Raw genomic sequence first — 18,561 nt, forward strand, 5'->3', positions numbered from 1 at the left:
TATACAAAAATCAACTCAAGATGGATCAAGAACTTAAATTCAAAGACCTAAAACCATAAAAATTCTAGAAGATAACATTGGAAAATCCCTTCTAGACATTGCTTAGGCAAAGACTTCATGAAAGAACCCAAAAGCAAATGCAACAAAAACAATGATAAATAGGTGGGACTTAATTCAACTAAAAAGTTTCTGCACAGCAAAAGAAACAATAAGCAGAGTAAACAGACAACCCACAGAGTGGGAGAAAATCTTCACAATCTATACATCCGACAAAAGACCAATATACAGAATCTACAAGGAACTCAAACAAATTAGCAAGAAAAAAAGCAAACAATCCCATCAAAAAATGGGCTAAAGACATGAATAGACAATTCTCAAAAGAAGATATACAAATGGCCAACAAACATATGAAAAAAATGCTCAGCCTCACTAATGATCAGGGAAATGCAAATCAAAATCACAATATGATACCATCTTACTCCTGCAACAGGGAACTGCTGGTGGGATTGTAAACTAGTACATGGAAAACAGTGTGGAGATTTCTTAAAGAACTAAAAGTAAAACTACCATTTAATCCAGCAATCCCACCACTGGGCATCTACCCCGAGGAAAAAAAGTCATTATACGAAAAAGATATTTGCACATGTGTGTTAAACTGTGAACTTTCTCAGTATTTTCCTCCCCCCTTAGTTGTGACAGGGTGACTAGGGTGGGCTGAAGTTAGGCATTTCCCTTCTCTCAGGCCAGTTAGTCTCTCATAACACCCCAGCAGACTAGGTCCTGATTAAATATATAAAAGCTCAGATCCAGGAAGCCCAGAGAACACCAAGCAGGATAAATATTTAAAATAAAAAAAAAGACACCCAGACATATTATTTTTAACTACAGAAAGTTAGAGTTAAATAAAAAATACTGAAATATGTCAGGTAAAAAAAACACCTTAACTATAGTAGAACAAAGAAAAGAATTATATCAAATTTCTCCTCAGAAACCATGCAAGCAAGAAGAGAGTGAAATGAAATAATTAAAGTATTGAAGAAACACACACACACACACACACACACACACCCCAACATAGAATTCTCTACCCTGTGAAACTATCCTTCAAAAATGAAGGAAGAATAAGGATTTTTTTCAGACAAACAAAAATTGAGGGAATTAGTTGCCAGTAGACCTGCCTTACAGGAAATGTTAAAAGAAGATTTTTAGAAAGAAGGAAAATTATATAGGTCAGAAACATATATTTACATAAAGAAAGAACATTGGAAAATGAATAAATTTATTTTACTTCGTAAAATAAAAAAATGAGCTAACAAAATAATAGCATGATGTATTCAATTATGCATGCTTATGTATATATATTATTTATGCTTATGTATGCTTATATATCAGTGAAATGAATAACAACAATGATAGAAGGAAAAGAAGAAAGAAATTATGATTATTTTGTTATTGCAAGGTATTCACACTACCTGTGAAGTGGTATAGTATTATTTCAAAGTGGACTTCCATTAGTTATAAATGTCAATTACAAATTCTAGGGCAAACACTAAAAAAAGTTATAAGAAGGATAACTGACATGCTAAGAAATTACAAAAAGATGGAATCATATAAAATGCTCAGTTAAAACCACAAAAGGCAGATAAAGAGGAGAAAAGAGCGAAAGACAAAAAAAGGAAAAAAGAACAAGGGTGGCAGATAGAAAACAGTAACGAAGGTGGTAGATACTGATTCAACTATGTCAATAATTACTTTGAATGTCAATGGTCGAAATGCACCTAATTAAAAGATAGAGATTGTCACAGCAAACCAAAAATCAAGACCCAACTATATGTTGTCTACAAAAAAACCCAGTTTATTTAAAGATAGATAAAAGTAAGAAAATAGAGAAAAATATACCATGCTAACATACTCAAAAGAAAGCAGAAGTGACTATATAAATCTCAGACAAAGCAAAAAAAGTTATCAGAGATAATGACATTATATAATGATAAAATGATAAATTCTGTAAAAAGACATAACAATTCTTAACATGTATGTGCCTAACAACAGAATGACAAACTAACTGAGGCTGAAACTAATAGAACTTGCAAGCAGAAATTAATAAATACACTATTATAGTTGGGGACTTCAACGCCCCTCTGTCAGAAATGGACAGATTCAGCAGGCAGAAAATCAATAAAGACATACTTTAACTCAACAACGTCATCGATTAACTGGATATAATTGACATCTATAAATTACTTCATCCAACAACAGCAGAATCCACATTCTTCTGAAGCTCACATGGAACATTCACCAAGATAGACCACATTCTGGGCTATAAAATACAGCTTAACAAATTAAAAAAATAAAAATTGTTCAATGTCTGCTCTCAGACCACATGTAATTAAACTAGAAATAAATAACAGAAAGATAACTGAAATATCCCAAAGCATGTGGCAATTAAACACACTTCTAAATAACTAATGGCTCAAAGAAGAAATCTCAAAAGAAATATTAAAATATTTTAAACAATAACAATAGAACTAAAGAGCTTCTGCACAGCAAAAGAAACTACCATCAGAGTGAACACGCAACCTACAAATTGGGAGAAAATTTTTGCAACCTACTCATCTGACAAAGGGCTAATATCCAGAATCTACAATGAACTCAAAAAAATTTACGAGAAAAAAAACAAACAACCCCATCAAAAAGTGGGTGAAGGACATGAACAGACATTTCTCAAAACAAGTCATTTATGCAGCCAAAAAACACGTGAAAAAATGCTTACCATCACTGGCCATCAGAGAAATGCAAATCAAAACCACAATGAGATACCATCTCACACCAGTTAGAATGGCAATCATTAAAAAGTCAGGAAACAACAGGTGCTGGAGAGGATGTGGAGAAATTGGAATACTTTTACACTGTTGGTGGGACTGTAAACTAGTTCAACCATTGTGGAAGTCAGTGTGGCGATTCCTCAGGGATCTAGAACTAGAAATACCATTTGACCCAGCCATCCCATTACTGGGTATATATGAAAAGGACTATAAATCATGCTGCTATAAAGACACATGCACACATATGTTTACTGCGGCACTATTCACAATAGCAAAGACTTGGAACCAACCTAAATATCCAACAATGATAGACTGGATGAAGAAAATGTGGCACATATACACCATGGAATACTATGCAGCCATAAAAAATGATGAGTTCATGTCCTTTGTAGGGACATGGATGAAATTGGAAATCATCATTCTCAGTAAACTATCGCAAGGACAAAAAACCAAACACCGCATGTTCTCACTGATAGGTGGGAATTGAACAATGAGAACACATGGACACAGGAAGGGGAACATCACACTCTGGGGACTGTTGCGGGGTGGGGGGAGGGGGGAGGGATAGCATTAGGAGATATACCTAATGCTAAATGATGAGTTAATGGGTGCAGCACACCACCAGGCCCATGTATATGTATGTAACTAACCTGCACATTGTGCACATGTACCCTAAAACTTAAAGTATAATAAAAAAAAAATAGAAACACAATTTATCAAAATATGTGGTATGCAGTAAAATCAGTGCTAAGAGGGAAATGGATAGCATTGAATGCATATATTAGAAAAGAAGAAAGATTTAAAATCAATAATACGCTTCCATCTGATGAAACTAGAAAAAGAAGGGCAAATTAAATCCAAACTAAGAAGAAAAGAAGCAAGAATTAGAGCAGAAATCAATGAAATTAAAACCAGAAAATCAATATAGAATATCAATGAAACCAAAGCTGGTTTATTGAAAAGATCAATAAAATTGATAAGCCTCTAGCCAGGCTAATTAAAAAAAAGAGAGAGAGAGAGAAGATGAATTACTAATATCAGAAATGAAAGAGAGGACATCACTACAGATCCTATGGACATTAAAAGAATAATAAAGGAATACAAAGAATAACTATAGGCCTACAATTTTGAAAACCTAGATGAAATGGACCAATTCCTTGAAAGATCTGATTTGCCAAAATTCACACAAGAAGAAATATACAATCGAAATAGGCTTACATCTATTAAAGAAATTAAATCAGTAATTTAATAATCTTCAAAAACAAAGCATCAGGCCGAGATGGCTTCACTGGTGAATTTACCACACTTTATGGAAGAGATTGTACCAATTCTCTAGTCTTTTTCAGAGGATTAAACAGAGGGAATATTTTCTAATTCATTCTATGAGGCCAGCATTATCCTCATACTTTATTTTTATTTTTATTTTTATTTATTTTTGCTGGTAACTATCCTTTAATACATTTCTTCAGACATATGTATGAATACTTAGATATACAATTTTGAATAAATGAGATATTTTACATGTATTTCATTGAGAATACTTTTTAACCATTTTGTTAAATTGTTTATCCCTCTCTTCTCCCTCCCTTACACATCCCTCCTTACCATAATTTAAAATATTAGAAAACTGTTTTGGTCACATGAACACCTAGTGTAAAACCCCCTCCAAATCAACTAATAAAGATATAACACATTCCCTTTAGTGGATGATAAAATTAGCTGAATCATAGTTTGCTTATCTATATACTGAGTGAGGAGCATTTTTTTATATATATACTTAAAGTTCTAAGGTACATGTGCACAACATGCAGGTTTGTTACATAGGTATACATGTGCCATGTTGGTGTGCTGCACCCATTACTCATCATTTACATTAGGTATTACTATTAATGCTATCCCTACCCCCTACCCCCACCCCATGACAGGTGACAATATGTGATGTTCCCCATCCTGTGTCCAAGTGTTCTCATTATTCAATTCCCACCTATGAGTGAGAACATGCAGTGTTTGGTTTTCTGTCCTTGTGATAGTTTGCTGAGAATGACGGTTTCTAGCTTCATCCATGTCCTGACAAAGGACATGAACTCATCCTTTTTTATGGCTGCATAGTATTCCATGGTGTATATGTGCCACATGTTCTTAATCCAGTCTATCATTGATGGACATTTGGGTTGGTTCCAAGTCTTTGCTATTGTGAATAGTGACACAATAAACATACCTGTTCATGTGTCTTTATAGTAACATGTGTCTTTATAATCCTTTGGGTATATACCCAGTAATGGGATGGCTGGGTCAAATGGTATTTCTAGTTCTAGATCCTTGAGGAATCGCCACACTGTCTTCCACAGTGGTTGAACTAGTTTACAGTCCCACCAACAGTGTAAAACTGATCCTTTTTCTCCACATCCTCTCCAGCACCTGTTGTTTGCTGACTTTTTAATGATTGCCATTCTAACTGGTGTGAGATGGTATCTCATTGTGGTTTTGATTTGCATTTCTCTGATGACCAGCCATGATGATCATTTTTTCATGTGTCTCTTGGCTGCATAAATGTCTTCTTTTGAGAAATGTCTGTTCATATCCTTTGCCCACTTTTTGATGGAGTTTTTTTTCTTGTAAATTTGTTTAAGTTCTTTGTAGATTCTGGATATTAGCTCTTTGTCAGATGGGTAGATTGCAAAAATTTTCTCCCATTCTGTAGGTTGCCTGTTATGGTACTTTATTTTGCTGTGCAGAAGCTCTTTAGTTTAATTAGATCCAATTTGTCTATTTTGGCTTTTGTTGCCTTTGCTTTTGGTGTTTCAGTCATAAAGTCCTTGCCCGTGCCTATGTCCTGAATAGTATTGCCTAGGTTTTCTTTTAGGGTTTTTATGGTTTTAGGTCTAACATTTAAGTCTTTAATCCATCTTGAATTAATTTTTGTATAAGGTGTAAGGAAGGGATGCAGTTTCAGCTTTCTACATATAGCTAGCCAGTTTTCCCAGCACAATTTGTTAGATAGGGAATCCTTTCCCCATTTCTTGTTTTTGTCGGGTTTGTCAAAGATGAGATGGTTGTAGACGTGTGGTGTTATTTCTCAGGCCTCTGTTCTATTCCATTGGTCTATATCTCTGTTTTGGTACCATGCTGTGTTGGTTACTGTAGCCTTGGAGTATAGTTTGAAGTCAGGTAGCATGATGCTTCCAGCTTTGTTCTTTTTGCTTAGGATTGTATTGGCAATGAGGGCTCTTTTATGGTTCCATATGAACTTTAAAGTAGTTTTTCTAACTCTGTGAAGAAAGTCATTGGTAGTTTGATGGGGATGACATTGAATCTATAAACTACCTTGGGCAGTATGGCCATTTTCATGATATTGATTCTTTCTATCCATGAGCATGGAATGTTCTTCCATTTGTTTACGTCCTCTTTTATTTCATTGAGCAGTGGTTTGTAGTTCTTTTTGAAGAGGCCCTTCACATCCCTTGTAAGTTGGATTCTTAGGTATTTTATTCTCTTTGAAGCAATTGTAAATGGAAGTTGACTCATCATTTGGCTCCCTGTCTGTTATTGGTGTATGGTAATGCTTGTGATTTTTGCACATTGATTTTGTATCCTGAGACTTTGCTGAAGTTGCTTATCAGCTTAAGGAGATTTGGGGCTGAAATGATGGGGTTTTCTAAATATGCAATCATGTTATCTGCAAACTGGGACAATTTGACTTCCTCTTTTCCTAATTGAATACCCTTTATTTCTTTATCTTGCTTGATTGCCTTGGCTAGAACACCCAACACTATGTTGAATAGGAGTGGTGAGAGAGGGCATCTCTGTCTTGTGCCAGTTTTCAAAGGGAATGCTTCCAGTTATGGCCCATTCAATATGATATTGGTTGTGGGTTTGTCATAAATAGCTCTTATTATTTTGAAATACGTCCCATCAATACCTAGTTTATTGAGAGTTTTTAGCATGAAGGACTGTTGAATTTTGTCGCAGGCATTTTTTGCATCTATTGAGATGATCATGTGGTTTTGTCTTTGGTTCTGTTTATGTGATGGATTACCTTTATTTATTTGCATATGTTGAACCAGCTTTGCATCCCAGGGATGAAGCAAACTTGATCATGGTGGATAAGCTTTTTGATGTGCTGCTGGATTTGGTTTGCCAGTATTTTATTGAGGATTTTTGCATCGATGTTCATCAGGGATATTGGTCTGAAATTCTCTTTTTTTGTTGTGTCTCTGCCAGGCTTTGGTATCAGGATGTTGCTGGCCTCATAAAATGAGTTAGGGAGGATTCCCTCTATTTCTATTGATTGGAATAGTTTCAGAAGGAATGGTACCAGCTCCTCTTTGTACCTCTGGTAGAATTTGGCTGTGAGTCCTTCTGGTCCTGGACTTGTTTTGGTTGCTAGGCTATTAATTATTGCCTCAGTTTCAGAGCCTGTTATTGGTCTATTCAGGGATTCAACTTCTTCCTGGTTTAGTCTTGGGAGGATGTATGTGTCCAGGAATTTATCCATTTCTTCTAGATTTTCTCGTTTATTTGTGTAGAGGTGTTTATAGTATTCTCTGAAGGTAGTTTTCATGTCTGTGGGATCAATGGTGATATCCCCTTTATCATTTTTTATTGCATCTATTTGATTCTTCTCTCTTTTCTTCTTTATTAGCCTTGCTAGCAGTCTATCTATTTTCTTGATCTTTTCAAAAAACCAGCTCCTGGATTTGTTGATTTTTTTGAAGGGGTTTTGTGTCTTTATCTCCTTCAGTTCTGCTCTGTTCTTAGTTATTTCTTGCCTTCTGCTAGCTTTTGAATTTGTTTGCTCCTGCTTCTCTAGTTCTTTTAATTGTGATGTTAGGGTGTCGATTTTAGATCTTTCCTGCTTTCTCTTGTGGGCATTTAGTGCTATAAATTTCCCTCTACACACTGCTTTAAATGTGTCCCAGAGGTACTGATATGTTGTGTCTTTGTTCTCATTGGTTTCAAAGAATATCTTTATTTCTGCCTTTATTTTGTTATTTACCCAGTATTCATTCAGGAGCAGGTTGTTCAGTTTCCATGTAGTTGTGTGGTTTTGAATGAGTTTCTTTTTCTTTTTTCTTTTTTTTTTTTTTTTTTTTTTGAAACAGAGTCTTGCTCTTTCGCCCAGGCTGGAGTGCAGTGGTGCTATCTCGGCTCACTGCAAGCTCTGCTTCCTGGGTTCACACCATTCTCCTGCCTCAGCCTCCCAAGTAGCTGGGACTACAGGTGCCCGCCACCATGCCAAGCTAATTTTTTGTGTTTTTAGTAGAGATGGGGTTTCACTGTGTTAGCCAGGATGGTCTCGATCTCCTGACCTCGTGACCCACCCGCCTCAGCCTCCCACGGTGCTGGGATTACAGGCATGAGCCACCATGCCCAGCCTTGAGTAAGTTTCTTAATCCCGAGTTCTCATTTGATTGCACTGTGGTCTGAGAGACAGTTTGTTTTGATTTCTGTTCTTTTACATTTGCTGAGGAGTGCTTTACTTCCAACTATGTGGTCAATTTTGGAATAAGTGTGATGTGGTGCTGAGAAGAATGTATATTCTGTTGATTTGGGGTGGAGAGTTCTGTAGATGTCTATTAGGTCTGCTTGGTGCAGAGCTTAGTTTAAGTCCTGGATATCCTTGTTAACCTTCTGTCTCATTGATCTGTCTAATATTGATAGTGGGGTGTTAAAGTCTCCCATTATTATTGTGTGGGAGCCTAAGTCTCTTTGTAGGTCTCTAAGGACTTGCCTTATGAATCTGAGTGCTCTTGTATTGGGTGCATATACATTTAGGATAGTTAGCTCTTCTTGTTGATGATCCCTTTACCATTATGTAATGGCCTTCTTTGTCTCTTTTGATCTTTGTTGGTATAAAGTCTGTTTTATCAGAGACTAGGATTGCAACCCCTGCTTTTTTTTTGTTTTCCATTTGCTTGGTAGATCTTCCTCCACCCCTTTATTTTGAGCCTATGTGTGTCTCTGCACATGAGATGGGTCTCCTGAATAAAGCACATTGATGGATCTTGACTCTTTATCCAATTTGCCAGTCTGTATCTTTTAATTGGGGCATTTAGCCCATTTACATTTAAGGTTAATATTGTTATGTGTGAATTTGATCCTGTCATTATGATGTTGGCTGGTTATTTTGCTTGTTAGTTGATGCAGTTTCTTCCTAGCATAAATGGTCTTTATGATTTGGCATGTTTTTGCCGTGGCTGGTACCAGTTGTTCCTTTCCATGTTTACTGCTTCCTTTGGGATCTCTTGTAAGGCAGGCCTGGTGGTGACAAAATCTCTCAGCATTTGCTTGTCTTTAAAGTATTTTATTTCTCCTTCACTTATGAAGCTTAGGTTGGCTGGATATGAAATTCTGGGTTGAAAATTCTTTTCTTTAAGAATGTTGAATATTGGCCACCACTCACTTCTGGCTTGTAGAGTTTCTGCCGAGCGAGCCACTGTTAGTCTCATGGGCTTCCCTTTGTGGGTAACCCAACCTTTCTCTCTGGCTGCCCTTAACACTTTTTCCTTCATTTCAACTTTGGTTAATCTGACAATTATTTGTCTTGGAGTTGCTCTTCTCGAGGAGTATATTTGTGGTGTTCTCTGTATTTCCTGAATTTGAATGTTGGCCTGCCTTGCTAGGTTGGGGAAGTTCTCCTGGATAATATCCTGCAGAGTGTTTTCCAACTTGGTTCCATTCTCCCCATCATTTTAGGTACACCAATCAAACGTAGATTTGATCTTTTCACATGGTCCCATGTTTCTTGGAGGCTTTGTTCATTTCTTTTTCCTATTTTTTCTCTAAACTTCTTGCTTCATTTCATTCATTTGATCTTCAATCACTGATACCCTTTCTTTCACTTGATCAAATCAGGTACTGAAGCTTGTGCATCCATTACACAGTTCTCGTGCCATGGTTTTCAGCTCCATCCAGTCATTTAAGGTCTTCTCTATGCTGTTTATTCTAGTTAGCCATTCATCTAATCTTTTTTCAAGGTTTTTAGCTTCCTGGCAATGGGTTCGAACATCCTCCTTCTCTTGGATAAGTTTGCTATTGCCGACCTTCAGAAGCCTATTTCTGTCAACTTGTCAAAGTCATTCACCATCCAGCTTTGTTCCATTGCTGGTGAGGGGCTGCAATCCTTTAGAGGAGAAGAGGCACTCTGGTTTTTAGAATTTTCAGCTTTTCTTCTCTGGTTTCTCCCCATCTTTGTGGTTTTATCTACTTTGGTCTTTGATGATGGTGACCTACAGATGGGGTTTTGGTGTGGATGTCATTTTTGTTGATGTTGATGCTATCCCTTTCTGTTTGTTAGTTTTCCTTCTAACAGTCAGGTTCCTCAGCTGCAGGTCTGTTGGAGTTTGCTGGAGGTCCATTCCAGCATTCCAGACCCTGTTTTCCTGGGTATCACCAGCGGATGCTGCAGAACAGCAAATATTGCTGCCTGATCCTTCCTCTGGAAGCTTCATCTCCGAGGGGCACCCAGCTGTATGAGGTATCAGTTGGCCCCTACTGGCAGGCATCTCCCAGTAGGCTACATGAGGGTCAGGGACCCACTTGAGGAGGCAGTCTGTCCATTCTTAGAGCTCACACTCCATGCTGGGAGAACCACTGCTCTCTTCAGAGCTGTCAGACAGGGACATTTAAGTCTACGGAAGTTTCTGCTGCCTTTTGTTCAGCTATGCCCTGTCCCCAGAGGTGGAGTCTACAGAGGAAGGCAGGCCTCATTGCGCTGCAGTGGGTTCCACCAAGTTCGAGCTTTCCGGCTGCTTTGTTTACCTTTTCAAGCCTCAGCAATGGTGGACACCCCTCCCCCAGCCCAGGCTGCCACCTCGCAGTTCGATCTTGGACTGCTGTGCTAGCAGTGAGCAAGGCTCTTTGGGCATGGGACCTGCTGAGCCAGGCACGGGATATAATCTCCTGGTGTGCTATTTGCTAAGACTGTTGGAAAAACACAGTATTAGGGCAAGAGTGCCCCGATTTTCCAGGTACCATCTGTCACGGCTTCCCTTGGCTAGGAAGGGGAAATCCCCTGACCCCTTGTGCTTCCCAGGTGAGGTGATGCCCCGCCCTGCTTCAGCTCATCCTCCATGGTCTGCGCCCACTGTCCAACCAGTCCCAGTTAGATGAACCAGGTACCTCAGTTGGAAATGCAGATATCACCCATCTTCTGCATCGATCATGCTGGGAGTTGCAGACCAGAGCTCTTCCTGTTCGGCCATCTTGGAATGATCCTCTATCCTGATACTTTAATAAGATAAAGACATCACAGGAAAAGAAAACTACAGATCAATATCTCTCATGAAGATAGATGCACAAATCCTCTAAAATACTAGCAAACCAGATCTAACTGCACATGAAAAATATTATTCCCCATGACCAAGTGGGATTTATCACAGGTATGTGAAGTTTGTTCATCATTTGAAGATCAATTAATTCAATCCATCACATCTACAGGCTAAAAAAGAAAATTTGCATGATCATATCAATAGTTGCAGAAAAAGCATTTGACTTCAAAGTTCAAAACCCATTAATGACAAAACCTCTCAGTAAACTAGGAATAGAAGGGAACTTATTCAAATTGATAAAGGATATTTACCAAAAACCTACAGTTAACATCATAATTAATAGCAAGAAACTAGAGGCTTTCCCACTAAGACCAGGAACAAGATAAAGATGTCCCGTTACCATTCCTTTTCAACATTACACTGGAAATACTAGCTAATGCAACAAGAAAAAGAAATAAAAGGTATACAGATTGCAAAGGAAGAAATGAAACTGTCTCTGTTCACAGATTACATGATCGTCTATGCAGAAAATCCAAAAGAGTTGATTTAAAAAAAACCCTAGAACTAATAAGTGATTATAGCAAGGTTGCAGGATACAAGGTTATTATACACAACTTAACTCCTTTCCTATATACCAGCTATGAACAGTGGAATTTGAAACTTAATACAATTTACATGTGCACACCAAAAAATTAAATAGGTAAAAATCTAGCAGAATATGTACAAGATCTATATGAGAAAGCTACAAAACTCTGAGAAATGAAACCATGTTCATGTATAGGAAGACTCAATATTGTCAAAATATCAATTCTTTGAACTTGACCTATAGATATAATGCAATCCAGTCAAAACCCCAGTAAATTTTATCGATGTCCACAAACTGATTCTAAAGTTTATATAAAGAGGTAAAATACTCAGAATAGCCAACACAATATTGAAGAAGAACAAAGTTGGAGGACTGACACTACCCAACTTCAAGACTTACTATAAAGCTACAGTAATCAAGATAATGTGATATTGGTAAAAGAATAGACAAATAGATCAATAGAACAGAATAAAGCAGCCTCCCCCCCCAAAAAAATCAAAGACAATACAATGGAGAAAAGATAGTATTTTCACTCACTATTGGATATGTTATAGTATTTTCACTAACTATTGGATATCCAAGCCCACCTGGATAACCCAGGGAAATCTCTCCATGTCAATAGCCTAATCACATCTGCAAAGACACTTCTTTCTTATAAGGTAACATTTATAGGTTCTTGGGAATAGGGTTTGATGTCTTTCAGTGGCTATTACTCAGCCTACTAAAAGTAAAAAATGTAACTACTGTGGGCTGGGGTGGTTAAGGAATGTTTCATTGAAGAGTAAAATCTGGCTTTGAGGAATGAACTGGATTTTGCTGTATTATATTGACAATGGGTTGGTGCATTAGTCAGGGTTCTCTAGAGGGACAGAACTAATAGGATTTATGTATATATGAAAGTGAGTTTATTAAGGAGAATTGACTCACATGATCATAGGATGAAGTCTCACGATAGGCCATCTGCAAGCTGAGGAACAAGGAAGCCACTAGTAGCTCAGTCCAGGTCCCAAAACCTCAAAAGTAGGGAAACTGACAGTGCAGCCTTCATTCTGTGGTGGAAAGCGCTCAAGGCCCTGGCAAACCACTGGTGTGAGTCCAAGAGTCCAAAAACCAAAGAAGCTAAAGTCAGATGTTCAAGGGCAGGAAGCATCCGGCACAGGAGAGAAAGGTGAAGGCCAGAAGACTCAGCAAGTTGACTCATTCCACCTTCTTCCGCCTGCTTTTTCTAGCCATGCTAGCAGCTGATTGGATGGTACCCACCCACACTGAGGGTGTGTCTGCCTCTCCCTGTCCATTGACTGAAATGTTAATCTCCTCTGGCAACACCCTCCCAGACACACTCAGGAACAATACTTTGCATCTTTTAATTCAATCAAGTAGACCCTTAATATTAACCATCACAATTGGTGTTAGCAATTGTAGGGGAGAAAAGGTAATACTTTTTCCTCACCCATCACAAGGGACGTGGCTGGCATCCCAGTTAATAAAATACAGATTAACAAATCATAACACATTTATTCAACCAAGACTTATGTGACACAGGAGCCTTTAGAAATGAAGATCCAAAGACCCAGGGAACACTGTCTTTTTATGCTTACATTCGATGAAGAAGGGAGACATGTAGAAATGTGATTGGACAAAAAGGGGATGTGATCTGATGATAATAAACTAAAGGGGAAGCTGGGCGTGGTGGCTCACCCCTGTAATCCCAGCACTTTGGGAGGCTGAGGCAGGCGAATCACAAGGTCAGGAATTCGAGACCAGCCTGGCCAACATGGTGAAACCCCGTCTCTACTAAAAATACAAATAATTAGCTGGGCATAGTGGTGGGTGCCTGTAATCTCAGCTACTCGGGAGGCTGAGGCAGGAGAATAGCTTGAACCTGGGATGGGGAGGTTGCAGTGAGCCAAGATCACTCCACTGCACTCTAGCCTGAGCAACAGAGCGAGACTCTGTCTCAAAAAAAAAATAATAATAAAATAAAAGGAACTCAGCAAGGCCTGCTTGTTCAGATTCTTAATGGCCTCTCTGTGTAGTATTCCTTTCCTCTGGGTATAGGGTAGGACAGTTGACACATGAGGGTCTTATGACATAATTCAGGGAAGGTAGGTTGGAGAATTCCTTTATGGCCAGTTCTCACACAGAAAGATGGGGGAAAGTCAGAGAGCAACCTTTCTGTGTCTGCTATTTTCTCAGTTTCCAGGTGCCATACTTTGGGGTAGTGTGTCCCAAACTCTGACATAATCTATTGGGGAATACCTTTGTTCTGCTTGATTTGTATCTGGATAGAGGTCAAGTGTGCAGAGGGAAAGAAAGATTTAAAAAAATTGGCTTAAGGCCAGAATGTGGAAGGCCCTGAATTTTGTGATTAAGAGTTTGAGCCTGATAGACAGTGGGATACCACTGAAGGACTGAAGCAGTGAAGTCATGTGTGCCAGTATTGCTTTAGGAAAATCAAACTGGCAATAATTTATAGCAGCAATGCCCAATATTTTTGGCACCAGGGACTGGTTTTGTAGGAGACAATTTTTCCACAGACTGGGGAGGATGGTGTCAGAGGCATTAGATTCTCTTAAGGAGCATGCAACTTAGATCCCTTGTATGCACAGTTCATAATAGGGTTCGTGCTCCTATGAGAACCTAATGCCATGGCTGATCTGACAGGAGGAAGGTCTTAGGCCACAATGCTCCCTCACCCACTGCTCACCCCCTGCTGTGTGGCCTAGTTCCTAACAGGACATGGAGTGGTACTGGTCTGTGGCCCTGGGTCACAGACCAGTTGTAAATCAGGGACCCCTGATTTATAGGATACTTCTAGAGAAGGAAGTGAGAGTCAGGGAACCAATTTAGAAATCGATTGATCCTTGAGTTGTAAGATAAGGAAAGTTGGAATTAGAATGGTGGCTGTGGGAATAGAAAGCAAGGGATGGAGTCAGAAACAGGGCCGACTTCATAGGCTTGTGAACTCAGAAGCCTCCTGCACTTCATTTAATTCCCCGCTATCATTGTGCTGAAATTCTTAATAAGTTTGTATTTTGTAAGTGAAGTTCAATGAGACAATGGACCATATGCATGAGCAGACAATACAGGCACAATCTTGTTTTGTCATTCCTTGCCATCCCTTGCCTCCCTGTGTGCGTAGAACATTCAAGATGCCCCATGAGCACAGAATCCCAGTGGACCCATAATGCATTGGAGCTCAGTGTGATACAAATTGAGTACAAGGCAAGCGTGTTACCTCCATGACTGAGTAAGCAGAGGCTCTGATAAACCTGACGAGCCATGCTTTCTGTTCAGTCTTGGTCAGAACACAGAAAGAAGGTAAGGGCATTCTAAGAAACATGAACTAACAAGGAACTCTATCACATCCTTTCTCACCTTTGTTACTTTGCTGTATCAGTCAACCATGTAGGCTGAAAATGATGACAAATTAGAAAAGAGAGAGGGTAGGGCAACCCATAGTTTTGTTTTCTTCTTTACTCTTGAGTATGCTTCTTTAAAAGCCTTCTAAAGTCCTTTTTGACTCATCAGTGAGCCAAAGGTAGAAAGTGTTAGAAGAGGTGCATATAAAAGCAGGTAAGTTCTGCCTGCTCTGTCGCCTGCCACCGCTGCTCGAACCCGAGTGGTTCACTGCACGGTGAAGACAGATTCCGGACGCCAGGAAGTCATGCCTCCAATCTCAGACGCTATGTCCACCAAAGGCTCCGTGGTTCTGGCCTACAGTGGCAGCCTGGACACCTCCTGCACCCTCCTGTGGCTGAAGGAACAAGGCTATGACGTCATTGCCTACCTGGCCAACATTGGCCAGAAGGAAGACTTCGAGGAAGCCAGGAAGAATGCACTGAAGTTTGGGGCTAAAAAGGTGTTCATTGAGGATGTCGGCAGGGAGTTTGTGGAGGAGTTCATCTGGCCGGCCATCCAGTCCAGTGCACTGTATGAGGACCGCTACCTTCTGGGCACCTCTCGCCAGGCCCTGCATCGCCTGCAAACAAATGGAAATCACCCAGTGGAAGGGGGCCAAGTATATGTCCCACAGCACCACGGGAAATGGGAACAATCAGGTCCGGTTTGAGCTCATTTGCTACTCACTAGCCCCCCAGATAAAGGTCATTGCTCCCTGGAGGATGCCCAAATTCTACAACCAGCTCAAGGGCCGCAATGACCTGATGGAATATGCAAAGCAACACAGGATTCCCATCCCGGTCACACCCAAGAACTCGTGGAGCATGGACGAGAACCTCATGCATATCAGCTACGAGTCTGGAATCCTGGAGAACCCTAAGAACCAAGCACCTCCAGGTCTCTACACGAAGACCAGGACCCGGCCAAAGCCCCCAACACCCCTGACATTCTCGAGATCGAGTTCAAAAAAGGAGTCCCCGTGAAGGTGACCAACGTCAAGGATGGCACCACCCACCAGACCTCATTGGAGCTCTTCATGTACCTGAACGAAGTCGTGGGCAAGCAGGGTGTGGGCTGTATTGACATCATGGAGAACCGCTTCATTGGAATGAAGTCCCGAGGGATCTACCAGGCCCCAGCAAGCACCATCCTTTACCTCGCTCATTTAGACACCAAGGCCTTCACCATGGGCCAGGAAGTGCGCAAAATCAAACAAGGCCTGGGCTTGAAATTTGTTGAGCTGGTGGATACCGGTTTCTGGTACAGCCCTGAGTGTGAATTTGTCTGCCACTGCATCGCCAAGTCCCAGGAGCAAGTGGAAGGGAAAGTGCAGGTGTCCGTCCTCGAGGGCCAGGTGTACATCCTTGGCCAGGAGTCCCCACTGTCTCTCTACAAGGAGGAGCCGGTGAGCATGAACGTGCAGGGTGATTATCAGTCAATTGATGCCACCGGGTTCATCAACATCAATTCCCTCAGGCTGAAGGAATATCATCGTCTCCAGAGCAAGGTCACTGCCAAATAGCCCCCTGTACAATGAGGAGCTGGGGCCTCCTTAATTTGCTGATCCCCCAAGTACAGGAGCTAATTGTTGTGATAATTTGTAATTGTGACTTGTTCTCCTCGGCTGGCAGCGTAGTGGGGCTGCCAGGCCCCAGCTTTGTTCTCTGGTCCCCCTGAAGCCTGCAAACGTTGTCATCAAAGGGAAGGGTGGGGGGCAGCTGTGGTGGGGAGCTATAAAATGACAATTAAAAGATTTAAAAAAAAAAACCTGTGAGTTCCTTTTATACAGTGTTTTCACCATTCTGGTAAGAACCTGAAACTCAAGTGCATTTGTGAGCTACAAAATATAAACTATGTTATTTTGGCAATTTTATATAAAAGGTAGCTTTTATATTTGCATTTAAAAATGGCCTTGTACATTATAAAAATGAATGGTAAAATTTCAAGTTTAAATTTTTCTTTACTTAGAAAGATAGTAAATTGCAAATAAAAAACACCGTGGCAAGTTGAAAACAAGCTTTTTACATAGAATAAAGGAAAAAACTTTATATTTTGGTACTTTCAGGAGTACTGGTTTTTGAATAAAGGACTGAATTTTCATTTTGCTCTGGACTCCATGAATGATGTAGTCAGCCCTAGTCAGAAGATGTTTTGCTGGGAGAATCAACAGGACTTTGTGATTCACCGTAAGAAACAATGTAGCAGTCAGGTAGTATGTTTTATGCTTCCAACACCACAGCAATAGCACATCTTGCAACAGCTTAACTGAAGCCTCTGTTTAGAGTAAATAGCACAATTTTACTATATGTTCTTTTTTTAAAATTGAGGTAAATACACATAATATAAAATTTACCCTCTTAACAATCTTTAAGTGTACATTTCAGTAATGTTAAGTATATTCACATTGTTGTGCACCCAATCTCTAAAACATTTTCATCTTGCAAAACTGAAACTCTCTACCCATTAAACAAAAACTGCCCATTTTACCACCCTTCCCATCCCCTGGCAACCACCATTCTACTTTCTATTTCTATGAGTTTGACTATTCTGGATAGCTCATATAAGTGGAATTATATAGCATGTGTCTTTTTGTGGCTTATTTCACTTAGCGTAATGTTACCAAGCTTCATCCATCTTGTAGCATGGTCCTTTTTAAAGGCTAAATGATATTCCACCATGTATATATACTACATTCTGTTTCTTCATTCATATGTCAATGCTCCCAGCTTAATAAACTCAATAAACTCACTTGTAATTACAGTCAAAACTTGCCTCAATTGCTTCTGACTTTCTACAAGAAATTTAAGGTGATTTACAGAAACTCCAATAAAATGTAGTAAGTGAAGGATTCAGGACAAATGGAAAATGTGTATAACAAAACAGTAAAGCCAGGATCCAGTGAAAATTTGGCTGAAAAGGTTTCTAAAAATCATGTATCCACAAAGTGGCTAGATTGACCTAGAGCTACTAATTCTCACCGAGGGTGTCCCAAAATATTTTTTTTTTCAGACTGAGTCTCTCTCTGTTGCCCAGCCTGGAGTACAGTGGTGCAATCTCGGCTCACTGCAAACTCCACCTCCTAAGTTCAAGGGATCCTCCTGCCTCAGCCTCCCAAGTAGCTGGGACTGCAGACGTGTGCCACCACGGCCAGCTGATTTTTGTATTTTTAATAGAGACGAGGTTTCACCATGTTGGCCAGGCTGGTCTCGAACTCTTGACCTCAGGTGATCTGCCTGCCTCAGCCTCCCAAAGTGCTGGGATTACAGGTGTGAGCCACTGCGCCCGGCCTAGTGTCCCTAATTTTTTAATGTCATTTTCCATCACATACAGAAAATGATGATAATTGCATGGCATATAGGAGTAATGAGGCTGCTCTCCACCTATGGGAGCTGGCCCCAGACTGCACCCCTATACTCTGAGGACTGAAGGAACTGGCATCTCAGGAGTATGACCTGATCCTAGCATGCCAGTGGCTGTC

The 18,561-nt window shown here is 39.9% G+C and overlaps 1 pseudogene, besides 2 other annotated features; it reads left to right on the forward strand.

Annotated features, from left to right (window-relative positions):
• Window positions 10,113-11,312: an enhancer, noted in NCBI's record as "BRD4-independent group 4 enhancer chr5:53149739-53150938 (GRCh37/hg19 assembly coordinates)". NCBI's record gives its function as "activates an origin of replication core promoter dependent on BRD2, P300/CBP, MED14 and CDK7 cofactors, and independent of BRD4, by STARR-seq in HCT116 cells {active_cell/tissue: HCT116}" and the evidence as "EXISTENCE:reporter gene assay evidence [ECO:0000049][PMID:35650434]".
• Window positions 15,268-16,836, forward strand: ASS1P9 (argininosuccinate synthetase 1 pseudogene 9; annotated as a pseudogene).
• Window positions 17,990-18,198: a silencer, noted in NCBI's record as "fragment chr5:53157616-53157824 (GRCh37/hg19 assembly coordinates)". NCBI's record gives its function as "represses an EF-1alpha promoter that drives an FKBP-Casp9 reporter gene in an ReSE screen in K562 erythroleukemia cells {active_cell/tissue: K562}" and the evidence as "EXISTENCE:reporter gene assay evidence [ECO:0000049][PMID:32094911]".

This window comes from Homo sapiens, chromosome 5 (genome assembly GCF_000001405.40).
Source record: "Homo sapiens chromosome 5, GRCh38.p14 Primary Assembly".
In the NCBI taxonomy this organism is placed as follows: Eukaryota; Metazoa; Chordata; class Mammalia; order Primates; family Hominidae; genus Homo; species Homo sapiens.